Source organism: Homo sapiens, chromosome 1, assembly GCF_000001405.40.
Source record: "Homo sapiens chromosome 1, GRCh38.p14 Primary Assembly".
Lineage (NCBI taxonomy): Eukaryota > Metazoa > Chordata > Mammalia > Primates > Hominidae > Homo > Homo sapiens.
This window is the reverse complement of record NC_000001.11, coordinates 245,558,409-245,570,772: the sequence shown is the minus strand read 5'-3', so window position 1 is coordinate 245,570,772 and position 12,364 is coordinate 245,558,409. Positions and strand designations below refer to the sequence as shown.

The window sequence follows — 12,364 nt, the reverse complement described above, 5'->3', positions numbered from 1 at the left end:
TGATGTTTAACACTGAAGGGCTCGTGGACTCACACAAATTGTCTACCATCCACAGAGGTCCACAGTCGAAGAGCAAACACCAAGAGCTGGTGTGAATTAGAATAAGGTGTAAGGGACACAGGTATGCTCAGAAATCTCTGAAAAGCCTTTCCTGGCCCATGCCTCTCAGAGCCTCCCTGCCTCTGTGCCCACAACCCATGGGGGTGCCAAACGAAGGGAACAGACATGAATTCATATTCCCAAGATCCAAAATACTTACGGGAGGCATCAAGGAGGTAAGACCAGCATGTGGAAGGTAATGGAAAAATCCAGTATAATCATCCAGAAAGCCCCAGTTGGTATCAGTGGATGTGATGAGAAAAAGACAGATGCCAGTAACATCACGAGGAAAAAATTAACAGAATTTGGTGATGGACCGAATGTGGGATGTGCAGAAGAAACACAAAAATGATGCTGAAGTTTCAAGCCTGAGTGGCATCATTAACCTGAATTTCAATTCTCTCATCTATAAAGTGGAAATCAAAAATATTTTTCTCAGGCCAGGCATGGTGGCTCACGCCTGTAATCCCAGCACTTTGGGAGGCCAAGACGGGTGGATCACGAGGTCAGGAGATCAAGACCATCCTGGCTAACACGATGAAACCCCGTCTCTACTAAAAATACAAAAAAATTAGCCGGGTGTGGTGGCGGGCGCCTGTAGTCCCAGCTACTCCGGAGGCTGAGGCAGGAGAATGGCGTGAACCCAGGAGGCGGAGCTTGCAGTGAGCTGAGATCATGCCACTGCACTCCAGCCTGGGCGACAGAGCAAGACTCCGTCTCAAAAAAAAAAAAAAAAAAAAAAAAAATTCTCTATTTACAACGTAGGTTTCCCTCAAGGGAAAGATAAGTGATCATTAAAAAAAAAAAAAAAAGAAGGCCCAAAGAACAACAAAAGAACTATATTGGATCATCAATCAAGGTGTTTGTTTGTTTGTTTTGTTTGAGACAGGGTCTCACTCTGTCACCCAGGCTGTAGTGCAGTGGTGCAATCATGGCTCACTGAAACCTCCACCTCCTGGACTCAAGTGATCTTCCCACCTCAGCCTCCCGAGTAGCTGGAACTACAGGCATGCACCACCACATCCAGCTAATTTTTGTTTTTTGTTTGTTTGTTTATTTGTTTCTTTGAGATGGAGTCTCGCTGTGTCGCCCAGGCTGGAGTGCAGTGACAGGATCTTGGCTCACTGCAACCTCTGCCTCCCAGGTTCAAGCAATTCTGCCTCAGCCTCCCGAGTAGCTGGGATTACAGGTGCCTGCCACGATGCCCGGCTAATTTTTTTGTACTTTTTGTAGAGACAAGTTTCTGCCATGTTGCCCAGGCTTGTCTTGAACTCCTAAACTCAAATAATCCTCCCGTCTCAGCCTCCCAAAGTGCTGGGATTACATGTCCATCCAATCAAAGGCTTCTTGACTAATCAAAAAGCCCCTAGCTGAATCCTCCAGTTCTGTTATCTTTAAGGGGAACTTTTTCTTAAGGCTCGGTGGGATACTTTGGGAGACAGTCAATGTACAATGGAGTAAACAAAGAGAAAGAAGGAGAACAAAGTGGTTACTTGCTTACTTCTCTGGCTTCAAATTCAAACAATTTCCAGCAAAGGGCTCTAGATCCTCCTCTAATGACCTATCACAACATTTATTCATTGACGACAAGGAATATTCTTCTTCACAACCAACCAAACCCTGGATGCACCTTAAAGCTATTTCTCATCTGAGCCCAGTGAGCACGGGGCAAAACCAATCATGTTCATCATCTTAAACCTGGAAATAGTTGTAATCTCCTCCTGCTGAGAGTAGGAAATTCACAGGATTTAATCTCTAGTTTTAGAATCATTTGAACTGTATTCATCTTGTATCCATTCTGGTTCTGCCCAATTCAAAAGCATAGCTTAGATGAAGCTTTAAGATTCTCAAAGATCATGAAACTCTTGGGATTGTTTATGATTTCCCATATCCTTGACCCTTGCTGTGACACTAAATGAAGAGTCAGAACATGCAAGACACAAAATCAACTACTTCTCTGTGTTCTGAGTTTCATTTAAGAATCCTCTTAAGGTACCCCCATGAGACCCTGTGACGCCCAGGGCCAGCTGTGATGTTGCTGGTTCGGACCAGCAATAAACCGCTAGCTCCCTGTTCATTTTTATGCCTTTGCATATAGCAAAGGAAATACCTCAAACTATGTAATGTCTCACATGCCTTTCAAGCCATTTTCTTTTTCCTTTTTGAGACAAGGTCTCACTCTGTTGCCCAGGCTGAAGGGCAGGGATATGATCATAGCTCACTGCAGCCTCAACCTCCTACGCTCAAGCGATCCTCCTGACTTGGCCACCCACCAGGACTACAGGCATGCACCACCACACCTGGCTAATTTTTAAAAAACATTTTTTGTGGAGATAGAGTCTCACTCTGTTGCCCAGGCTGAACTCCTGAGCTCAAGTGATCCTGCTGCCTTGGCTTCCCAAAGTGTTGGGATTACATGTATGAGCCACGGTGCCTGGCTCAGGCCCTTTGAGAGCTTCTTTTTTTTTTTTTTTTTTTTTTTTTTTTTTGAGATGGAGTTTCACTCTGTTGCCCAGGCTGGAGTGCAGGGACATGATCTCGGCTCACTGCAACCTCACTGCAACCTCCACTGAACCTCCCAAGTTCAAGCAATTCTCCTGCCTCAGCCTCCTGAGTAGCTGGGATTAACCCCGGCTATTTTTTTTAATTTTTAGTAGAGACGGGGTTTTGCCATGCTGGCCAGGCTGGTCCTGAACTCCAGACCGCAGGTGATCTGCCTGCCTCCACCTTCCAAAGTGCTGGGATTACAGGTGTGAGCCACCGTGCCCGGCCCCTTTAAGAACTTTTCATTTCCCTTGAATTCAAACCCAAAACTCTTAACTCAGATGAAAATTAGTGGACCAGGAATGAAGACAATGGGATGCTCCACCACGACCCTATTCTACTTGCACTGTTAGTACTGAAAAGAAAGAGTTTTGTCCTGGGATGCAGCTGTACAACACTCTGAAATTTTGCAAAGGCCTGCTCATGGGAGTCATTTGGCAAATAAGTTGGTTTTCCAGAGGTTTTCATGGTGGGCCACTGGGGGAGCAGCATGGTTTGGTTGGAGTGAACCTCTCTGTAAGGCCTGTATTCCTGCCATGGGTCATCCCCCCATGCCTTTGGAGGCCAGAGTAAAATGCCAACATTTGATGGGGTGGGATGGGTCATCACTTCAAGCTGTCATTTCTCTCCCATGGGACCTATTCAGCGACTCCTGGGGATGGGAGGGGTGAAGGGTGCTCGGAAGGGGACAGGAGGCTGGAGAAAGCAAGTTGCCCACTGTTTGGGAAGGTGGGACTCTAGGGCACAGCTTCGTCCATCACTGGACGCTGAAAGGGTGTCTGAATAAGAAGGCTTGAAACATTTCCTGAAAAATCCAAAGAGTCATTTCTGTGGAAGCTCTTCCACACAATGGAATAAATCAGGAGCAGGAAGAATGCTAGCATGTCACAGTCCACCCGGCAGCATCTGGAATCTCTCCGGGGAAATATTAATTGCTGGCTTTTGTGGGTCTGCTTATTTCTATAGTCTGGCCTGCAGAGACAATAAACGCTGACTGTCCTAAGACAGGAGCCACTTGATTAATCACCAGTTGCTACTTCTGACCCTTGGCCGCGGCTGGGGTGCAGGGCTCTCCACTCTGGGAACCTGGGATTTGTGAGTGCACACACAGCACTCTGCAGTTTAAGCCCGTGCTTTTGGCTCACAGTGGCTACAGAAAGGAATTTTATTTTTTTATTTATTCATGTATTTATTAATTTATTTTAGTTGGAGTCTCACTCTGTCACCCAGGCTGGAGTGCAGTGGTGCAATCTCGGCTTTCTGCAACCTCCATCTCCCGGATTCAAGTGATTCTTCTCTCTCAGCCTCCTGAGTAGCTGGGATTAGAGGCACACACCACCATGCCTGGATAATTTTTGTATTTTAGTAGAGATGGGGTTTCACCATGTTGGCCAGGCTGGTCTCGAACTCCTGATCTTCTGATCCGCCTGCCTTGGCCTCCCAAAGTGCTGGGATTACAAGTGTGAGCCACCACGCCCAGCCCAGAAAGGAATTTTAAAAATCAACATGTTGCGCTTGAAAGCTTTTGTTTGGAGGAAGAAAAGTGATCGCAATGCTGTCCTTAATTTCTTTGTTTTTCTCTTTCTTCTTTAAAACAAAATCTCAGCACAAGCAACTGTATTTGTTTGGCATTTGTGCATTTTTTCATTCATATTTTACCTTATTCCAGAAAGTATTTTATACAGTGAGCACAATTATCATTGAATTTGCCAGTAACTGGCAGGACCCTGAAGGAATGCAAAATCCGTGAGGAGCCTGTGGTTCTTTTGGGTGAAAGGTAGCACCTGGCAGCAAGCCAAAGGGCATAAAGTGTGAACTGAAAAGAAAAGAGGCATCACAACCAAGAGGAACTCATCTTGCCTCTCTGTTGGGGCTGGCCATGACTGAGAAAAAGGCTCACTGACATCCTGTGGGAAACGCAAAAATCATCTGGCATGCACTAACTATGGTGATATGGCTCAGAGGTTTGCCCCTCCAAATCTCATGTTGAAATGTAATCCCCAGTGCTGGAGGTGGGGCCTGCTGGGAGGTGACTGGATCATGGCCGCAGATCCCTTATGAATGGCTTAGCACCATCCTTTGGTGATCAGTGAGCTCTCGCTCAGTTAGTTCATGTGAGAAATGGTTGTTTTAAAGAGTCTGGGGCCTCCCCCTTCTCTCTATTGCTCCCACTCTTGCCATGTGACATGCCTGCTCCCTTTGCACCTTCTGCCATGATCGGAAGCTTCCTGAGGCCTCACTAGAAGCCAAGGAGATGCTAGCACCATGCTTCCTGTACAGCTGCAGAACCATGAGCCAATTAAACCTCTTTATAAATTACCCAGCCTTAGGTATTTTTTATAGTAATGCAAAATGGACTAACATATGAATATCTTCAAAGTAAGGCCACATAAGTAAATGAAATTATCTCCTTTGTCCCATGTGCGTATATTTCAGAGGTTGAATAATGGTTAGTACTAATGTCATACCCTTAATCTCGACCTGAAGAAGAACTCACATGCAAGCAACACTGTACAAATGACCGGCAAGAACGCATCAGAGGCTCGGCGCAGTGGCTCATGCCTGTAATCCCAGCACTTTGGGAGGCCCGGGAGGGCAACTTGCTTGAGGCCAGAAGTTTGAGAGCAGCCTGGCCAACGTAGTGAGACCCCGTCTCTACTAAAAATAGGAAAAATTAGCTGGGCGTGGTGGTGCACGCCTGTAGTCCCAGCTACTCAGGAGGCTGAGGCAGGAGAATTGCTTGAACCCGGGAGGTGGAGGTTGCAGTGAGCTGAGATGGTGCCACTGCACTCCAGCCTGGGCAACAGAGTGAGACTCTGTCTCAAAATAAAAAAAACAAAAAAACCCAAAAAAAACAACAGAATACATCAGAGCCCTCGAATTCACTGTGCTCTGAGGGCCCACCAATAGCTAGAGCATTCCTGACAGCGCTATAAAATATCACCATAGTAAATTCCCAAAAACTATACAAATTTTACTCTTTAAAAAAATTTTTTATAGAGAGGGTCTCGCTCAGCCAGGCTGAAAAGCAGTGGCACAATCATAGCTCATTGCAGCCTTGAACTCCTGGGCTCAAGTGATCCCTACGTAACAAATTTTGTTCTCTGTAACAGAGCAGGGCTCCCTAACCCCCAGGCCACGGACCAGTGCTAGTCGGTGTCCTGTTAAGAAGCAGGCCACACAGCAGAAGGTAAGCGTTACCACTTGAACTCTGCCTCCCGTCAGATCAGCAGCAGCATTAGATTCTCATGGAAGCACAAACCCTATTGTGAGCTGTGCATGTGGGGGTCTAGGTTGCACGCTCCTTGAGAGAATCTAATGATAAATGGAATGCACTGGAATCTTCCTGAAATCATCATCCCCCACCACCACCCTTGGTCCGTGGGAAAACTGTCTTCCGTGAAACCAGTCCCTGGTGCCTACAGGCTGGGGGCTGCTGCTTTATAATGTTGTTCCGGAAGGAAAACATTCCCTCGAGTCTGTGCCATTTGCTGTGCTGGGAGGTGACATGTATACACCTTGAGTTTGGATTTCAGTGAAAAAGCCTTTGTTGATGCTTCGTCTAAAGATGCACAGTGAAAGGAGTCCTTCTTATCCTTTTGAATTACTGCAGACAGTGTTTAACCCAAAACTTTCACTGAGGCGATGCTGTCCCTCCCCACCAGTCAGCAACACTTGAACGGGGAGAACAAACCACAGTGGCACCATCCTGGGTTCAGAAAATGCAAACACGGCCGTGGCCCCGTTCCTGCTCCGGGAAAGGTCTCCGTGTCGTAGAAGAGAGTCCAGAACATATAGATCCCGGCAGAGATAGGAACAAACTGAAGAGCATTCTGCCCAGGTCGAATCTGTTCCCAGGGAAAGTGACAGTGTGTATCGCAGAAAATGGGGGGAAGCTCATTCTAAGTGGCGTGAACCCAGGGGCAGAGACTCAGAGTCACAAGAGGGTCTGGAATGTTTAGGGGACATTGAGGCTTCAGTGTGGCTGCAACACAGGGGAGGTGACATTTTGGGATAGGAAGGGACGGTGGGAGCCTGACTGGTACTTGGGATTGGACTGTGTCGAGCTCAGCGTGACCTGCTTAGCTGTTCACGAGCAATCTAGCTGCGAAATGAAATGATCACATTTGGTGTGGAGGAACCTAATTCTGGTGGTTCAGAGGATGCACCGAAGAGAGTGCAGAAACAGATGGATGCACGGACAGGGAGAGAAAAAGGAACCTGTAGTGCAGGGTCGGCAGGCCTGACCCGAGGAGGAGAGCAAGGTCAAGTTCAACACTGTCTCCCGGGTCCTGCAGGAGCCCGCTTCCTTCAGAGGGTCTGGGGTCCTCTTGGGATTGCTGGTAACGCAGCGGTAATTGCGTTACATATTCTAAATCTAAACAACATACCTAAACATAGAAAAGGTGTAGTAAAAACACAGTATTATAATCTTATGGGACCACCATTATACAGGCAGTCCATTCTTAACGAAAACATCGTTCCCACAGTCTCAAGCAGCCCCACTCCCGAGGCCACTGGCTGCTTCATAGGTGGGAGTTGAAGGCCTCCGGAATCTGTCAGCCATGTGTTTGAGAAGTGGCCATTAAGAAGGCAGAGAAATGGGACACGTGGAGGAGTAAGTGAGAGGGAGAAAGTTTCAAAATATAATTGGAGATACAGCAACATCATCCAATGGGCAGGAGTTCTTAATGATTCGGGAGCAAGAGGGTATATGCGAAAGACCAGTGATCCTTGAGAAGATAGAACCCACTTGGAAACATTAACCCTTGAAAGAAGGCAAAGACACGTCCCCCACTGCAATAAGAAGGAACAAGAGAAATGGGTGGAAACGGGTTGTTTAGTGAATAAGGGAAATGGGTGGAAACAGGTTGTTCGGTGATAAAATGGGGGATTTTACATCTGATGGGTTCAGTGGGGGTCTTTGGGAAGAGACACTGACTGGCATTTAACGCAAAGCATTTGAATTGTGCTGGTTTCCACCTTCAATAGACTCATTTCAGAATCATTGACTAGTGACCTCACATTCATTCCCCAAACAAACATGTACTAAGTGCCGGCTCCTATGCTGGCTGTGCTGGGGAGGTGGCAGGATGCAAAGATTAAAAGGCAATGATGGACAAGTGTGGTGGCTTACACTTGTAATTCTATCACTTTGGGAGGCTGAGGCAGGAGGATTCCCTTAAAGCCAGGAGTTCGAGACCAGCCTCAGCAACACAGTGAGAGCCCATCTCTTACAAAGAATAACACAATTAGTCAGGCATGGTGACGCATGCCTATAGTCCCAGCTACTCGGGAGGCTGAGGCAGGAGGATCACTTGAGACCTGCCGGAGTTTGAGGCTGCAGTAAGCTATGACTGCACCACTGCCCTCCAGCCTGGGTGACAGAGCAATGAGATCCTGACTCTAATAAAAAAAGGGCAATGATTTTTCAGATTCTATACAAAGGAAGGTAACTCACACTACCCAAGGGTTCTGAAGGACTTTGCCAAGATTGAGGAGTTGGCCAGGCAGAGAGAAGAGCATGGGGGAAGGGGGGGGCGGGGCTTGGCCACGTGCGGACAGGTAGATTCAGTAACTGTTAACACATGGGAAGTTGACTGGTTGTGACAGACAGTGGGGAAATCGGTGTGCATACAAACTGGGAACAGAACCTGGACTCCCGAGGCCGGTCCTGGTTCTCAGAGTGAGGATGTGCCGTCACCACGGAGCCAAGCATGAAATTTTGGGTAAATTTCTCCCTGAAGACCCCTTTTAAGCAATGTGAGGGTCCTCCTATATTGAAAGTATAACGTAAAATTGCGATTTGGGCCACTAGGTTATGTTTTTTTGAAGAGTCTGCCTGTCATACTGAGTATAAAATATTAAAGCCACAAACCGAATTTCTGTCCTCTAATCTGCTGTTTAATTTGTGACCTTCCCTACCCTCCCCAGGTCCCTCTCTGCCTCAGCATAATTCGTTCTCTGAAGGGACCACTAGCACAGCTGAGAAGTGCTTTAAGTCTGAGCACCACCGCGGAGACAAAGTACGGCTGGAGGACGAGTATCAGTGCTGAGTCTGATCTGCACACACTGAAGATGCCCCCCAGGTCATCTGGGTATGAAACAGCTGCAATCCGCAACGGCCCTGGGAGAAACCACTGAAGAGTGCCCTTCAGCATCCACAGCAAGAAAATCAGGCCACAGAAAGCTGTAAAGAGCCTTGGGATGGAGACTGAGAAGAGGCAGGACCACCTCTGACATTTACGTCAGTAGTGAGAATCAGGTGGACTGATGAAACCTCTAGTAAACCAAAGGCACCCTACACCTACGATAGTTGTTAAGATGTGCACAGACGTAGGATTGACCCACATCAAACCATCAGAGGAAGCATGCAGAGATGCAGCATGCACATGACTCTCTAGGCCTCAGTTTCCTCACTAGTAAAAGAGACAACTTTAATGAGTTGGTATATGCAAATGAGTTATGTACAAATGAAATGAGGTATGCAAATGAGTTGATGTACATAAATGAGTTGATACATGCAAATGATTGATGTATGTGAATGTATTACGTATGTAAATGAGCTGTTGTATGTAATGCACTCAGAACAGTACTCAGTACCCAGCCCTAGGGAAGAATTTTCAAATATCAATGCTGAGTCAGAATTACAGGTAAGAAGTGGTTCACACGGTTCTTGTCACAAAGAGTGACCCAACCTGGCCCCTTAGAAAACAGTTTCCTAACCTAGTTTTTGTGTGCAGATGACTGCCGTTCTCATTTCAGGTTTGCTCCTATCCCAGGGAAGAGGGGAGGTACACACACCAAATGGCTTCCCTCTGTATCGGTAGCTGCCCAGGCTGTTCCCCAAATGTCCAACTTGTCTCACCCACCCACCTACTTACTGTTGATTTGTGCCTGCGCTATTGCTGTTTCATTATTAATAAGCCAAGATGAAGCTGGAAATTGCTTTGTGCTGTTGAATTTCAGCACTGCCTCCTGTCTGTCTAATGCCCCTCGTGATAAACAGCCACCCATAGGCTGAAAAGGTTCCCAGCTCCCAGGTCACCTGGTGACTGGCCTCCGGGGTAGCACTTGTCCTGTCTCTGAGGCACTTTGGTTTCTCCTAAGGGGTCTGGGGCCACCTTCTGTTCCTCACATCTGCACAGGCTGCTATCAGTCAGGTGTCCCATGGGGCTAGAAGGGGCATGGCCTGTATCACACCTTAGCACGGCTCCCCTTAGGGGCTGCAATTTTGGAGGTGAGACCGCCCAAATCCAGAATCTTTTCTCTCCAGAGCACACACACGGGAGTCTGCGGAGGCTGTCCCTGTGCTGTGGGGACAGAGAGTGAGGGGCAGTGATGAGAGTGCGAGGAGCGGAGGGGAGTCTTCAGTGGAGGCAGCTCATTTGACAGCAGGTTTAACAACTTGAGATTTACATGTCAGGCTTCCGTGAGAGGGGAGAGACTGACAGGTTGACAGGTTTGCGTTTCCCACTTTTCCAGAAACTTATGGGGTCTCTGAGAACCTCCGTGAAGTGCGCTGAGATGTTTTCAACCTCCACACTCTGTGAAGGCAACACAAAAGCCAAGTTCCCGCTTTGCTTTTTTTTCTAACATAATTAGGAACCGAGAGTATCATAAGGAGATCAACACCCAGTAATCTCTGAATCTTAAAACAACCGCCACAAATGTCATGGCAGAATTAAAATAAAGTAATACCATAAGGTACATTTTTATCTCACAGGAAAGAAAGAAAATAGCAAGCTGTCAGGCAGCACTCCACGCATAGCTCAACAAGTCTCTCTCCTCTCTCAGGAGAATGAAAACTCCTGAGAGGCCGGACCTATGTCTGGAGGGTATCTGGGTCTCCTTCCAAAAGGGAAAAAGTCCCTGGCCAGTAGCAGATGTTCAATGAATTGAAGCGAATGAGCATCTATGTATCCACATGAATAAATGCAAAAAGGGGCAAGTAAGATACAGCCCCTTTCATCCACAACTCACGGTCTGGAGTAGGGGACACAGGCACAGTGCCTGGAGAAGGGACAAGAGGAAGGCCTGCAGGTGGCAGGTGACACGGGAGCTGGGCCTGAGGACTGAGCAGCGTGTTTCCACGCCAAAAAAACGAATGAGAGACGAGCATCCCTGGCAGAGACGACAGCAGATGAACAGACAGGGAGGCACGGGAGGCACGTCGGTAACATGTGATGCACCACTGAAATCTGTCTGGAGCCAAAACATTGAAAATACTGATTGGAAAAAAAAAAAAAATAGACCTACAGGAGCAAAACAAAAAACCTTGTTAGGCTGGGTGTGGTGGCTCACGCCTGTAATCCCAGCATTTTGGGAGGCTGAGGTGGGAGGATCACTTGAGTCCAGGAGTTCAAAACCAGCCTGGGCAACATAGTAAGACCCCCCATCTCTACAAAAACAAAAATAGGCTGGGCACGGTGGCTCACGCCTGTAGTCCCAGCACTTTGGAAGGCCAAGGTGGGTGGATCATGAGCTCAGGAATTCAAGACCAGCCTGACCAACATGGTGAAACCCTGCCTCTAATAAAATATACAAAAAATTAGGCAGGTGTGGGGGCGTGCGCCTGTCTCCCAGCTACTTGGAAGGCTGAGGCAGGAGAATCGCTTGAACCCGGGAGGTGGGGGTTGCAGTGAGCTGAGATCGCACCACTGCACACCAACGTGGGCGACAGAGCAAGACTCCGTCTCGACAAAAACCCAAAAACCAAAAAAAAAACCTTGTTACTCACCGTAGTAAAAACAGAATTCCTTAAATTTTAATTAATTAATATTCTATTTTTGAGACAGGGTCTCACTCTGTGGCCGAAGCTGGAGTGCAGTGGTACAATCACAGGCTCACCGGAGCTTAGACTTCCCGGGCTCAAGTGATTCTCCTGTCTCAGCCTTAGCTAGGATTACAGGTGTGTGCCACCATGGCTGGCTACTTTTTAAATTTCTGTAGAGATGGGGTCTCCCTACGTTGCCCAGGCTGGTCTCAACTTTGGGCTCAAGCGATCCTTCTGCCTTGGCCTCCTAAAGTGCTGGGATTACAGACATGAGCTACTGTGCCTGGCCAAATTTTAATTTAAATGCCACGTGTCCGCACACACAAAGACTGAGAAAACACACGATGGTGTTCAGTGTGCATCATATAACAATGAGCTGTTTTTCTTACATAACTGACAAGAACTCTGCCTTCACTCCGGTCAAGGATTTGAGAGCATCTCCTGTAATACTAAATTGCCTAGACAGAAAAATGCATTCAGTCACTCTCTCCCCATCTTTTCACCACTTCTTAAGCCCAAAGGTTGGCGAGATGCTGGGTCTGAGGGGCTTCTGAGTGAAACAGTGTCATGTATTTTGCCTTTTGCAAATAAATGAGTTTTCCCCGACGTTATGTTGTCCAGGTAAAGAGTAACTGAAGTAACTCAAAGTGAACATTCAGAGAGGGCAGGCAGGATGCCCTGTCCCCGCAACCTTCTGAGCTCTGATCCCTGTGGCTAGACAAACATGTATCTAGCACCTTCCTTGTCCAGGAGGGACCTGGTTCAAAGAAGGACAAACTCTGCACAGAGAAATAAATGCCCACTTAGAGCCCAGCATGGCAAGAGGCCTCAGGGGCAGGAGGGAACTTCCTTGGGGAAGCGGGGTGAAGGGATAACATCCAAATTAAAGCTTGAAGAAGAAGGATGAATTCAGAGCAAAGGAGGAAGATGGGGAGGGCCCTGCCC

General features: G+C 47.4%; 1 protein-coding gene and 1 long non-coding RNA gene across 2 annotated transcripts in view; one reads left to right on the top strand and one right to left on the bottom strand.

Annotated features, from left to right (window-relative positions):
* The window catches only part of KIF26B (kinesin family member 26B), a 554,448-nt gene that overhangs the window by 138,660 nt on the left and 403,424 nt on the right, over positions 1-12,364 (bottom strand). The gene's annotated exons all lie outside the window — the stretch shown is intronic.
* Positions 8,194-9,171, top strand: LOC124904571 (uncharacterized). Its single transcript, XR_007066989.1, has 2 exons — positions 8,194-8,372; positions 8,578-9,171. It is a non-coding gene; the product is annotated as an uncharacterized LOC124904571 (long non-coding RNA).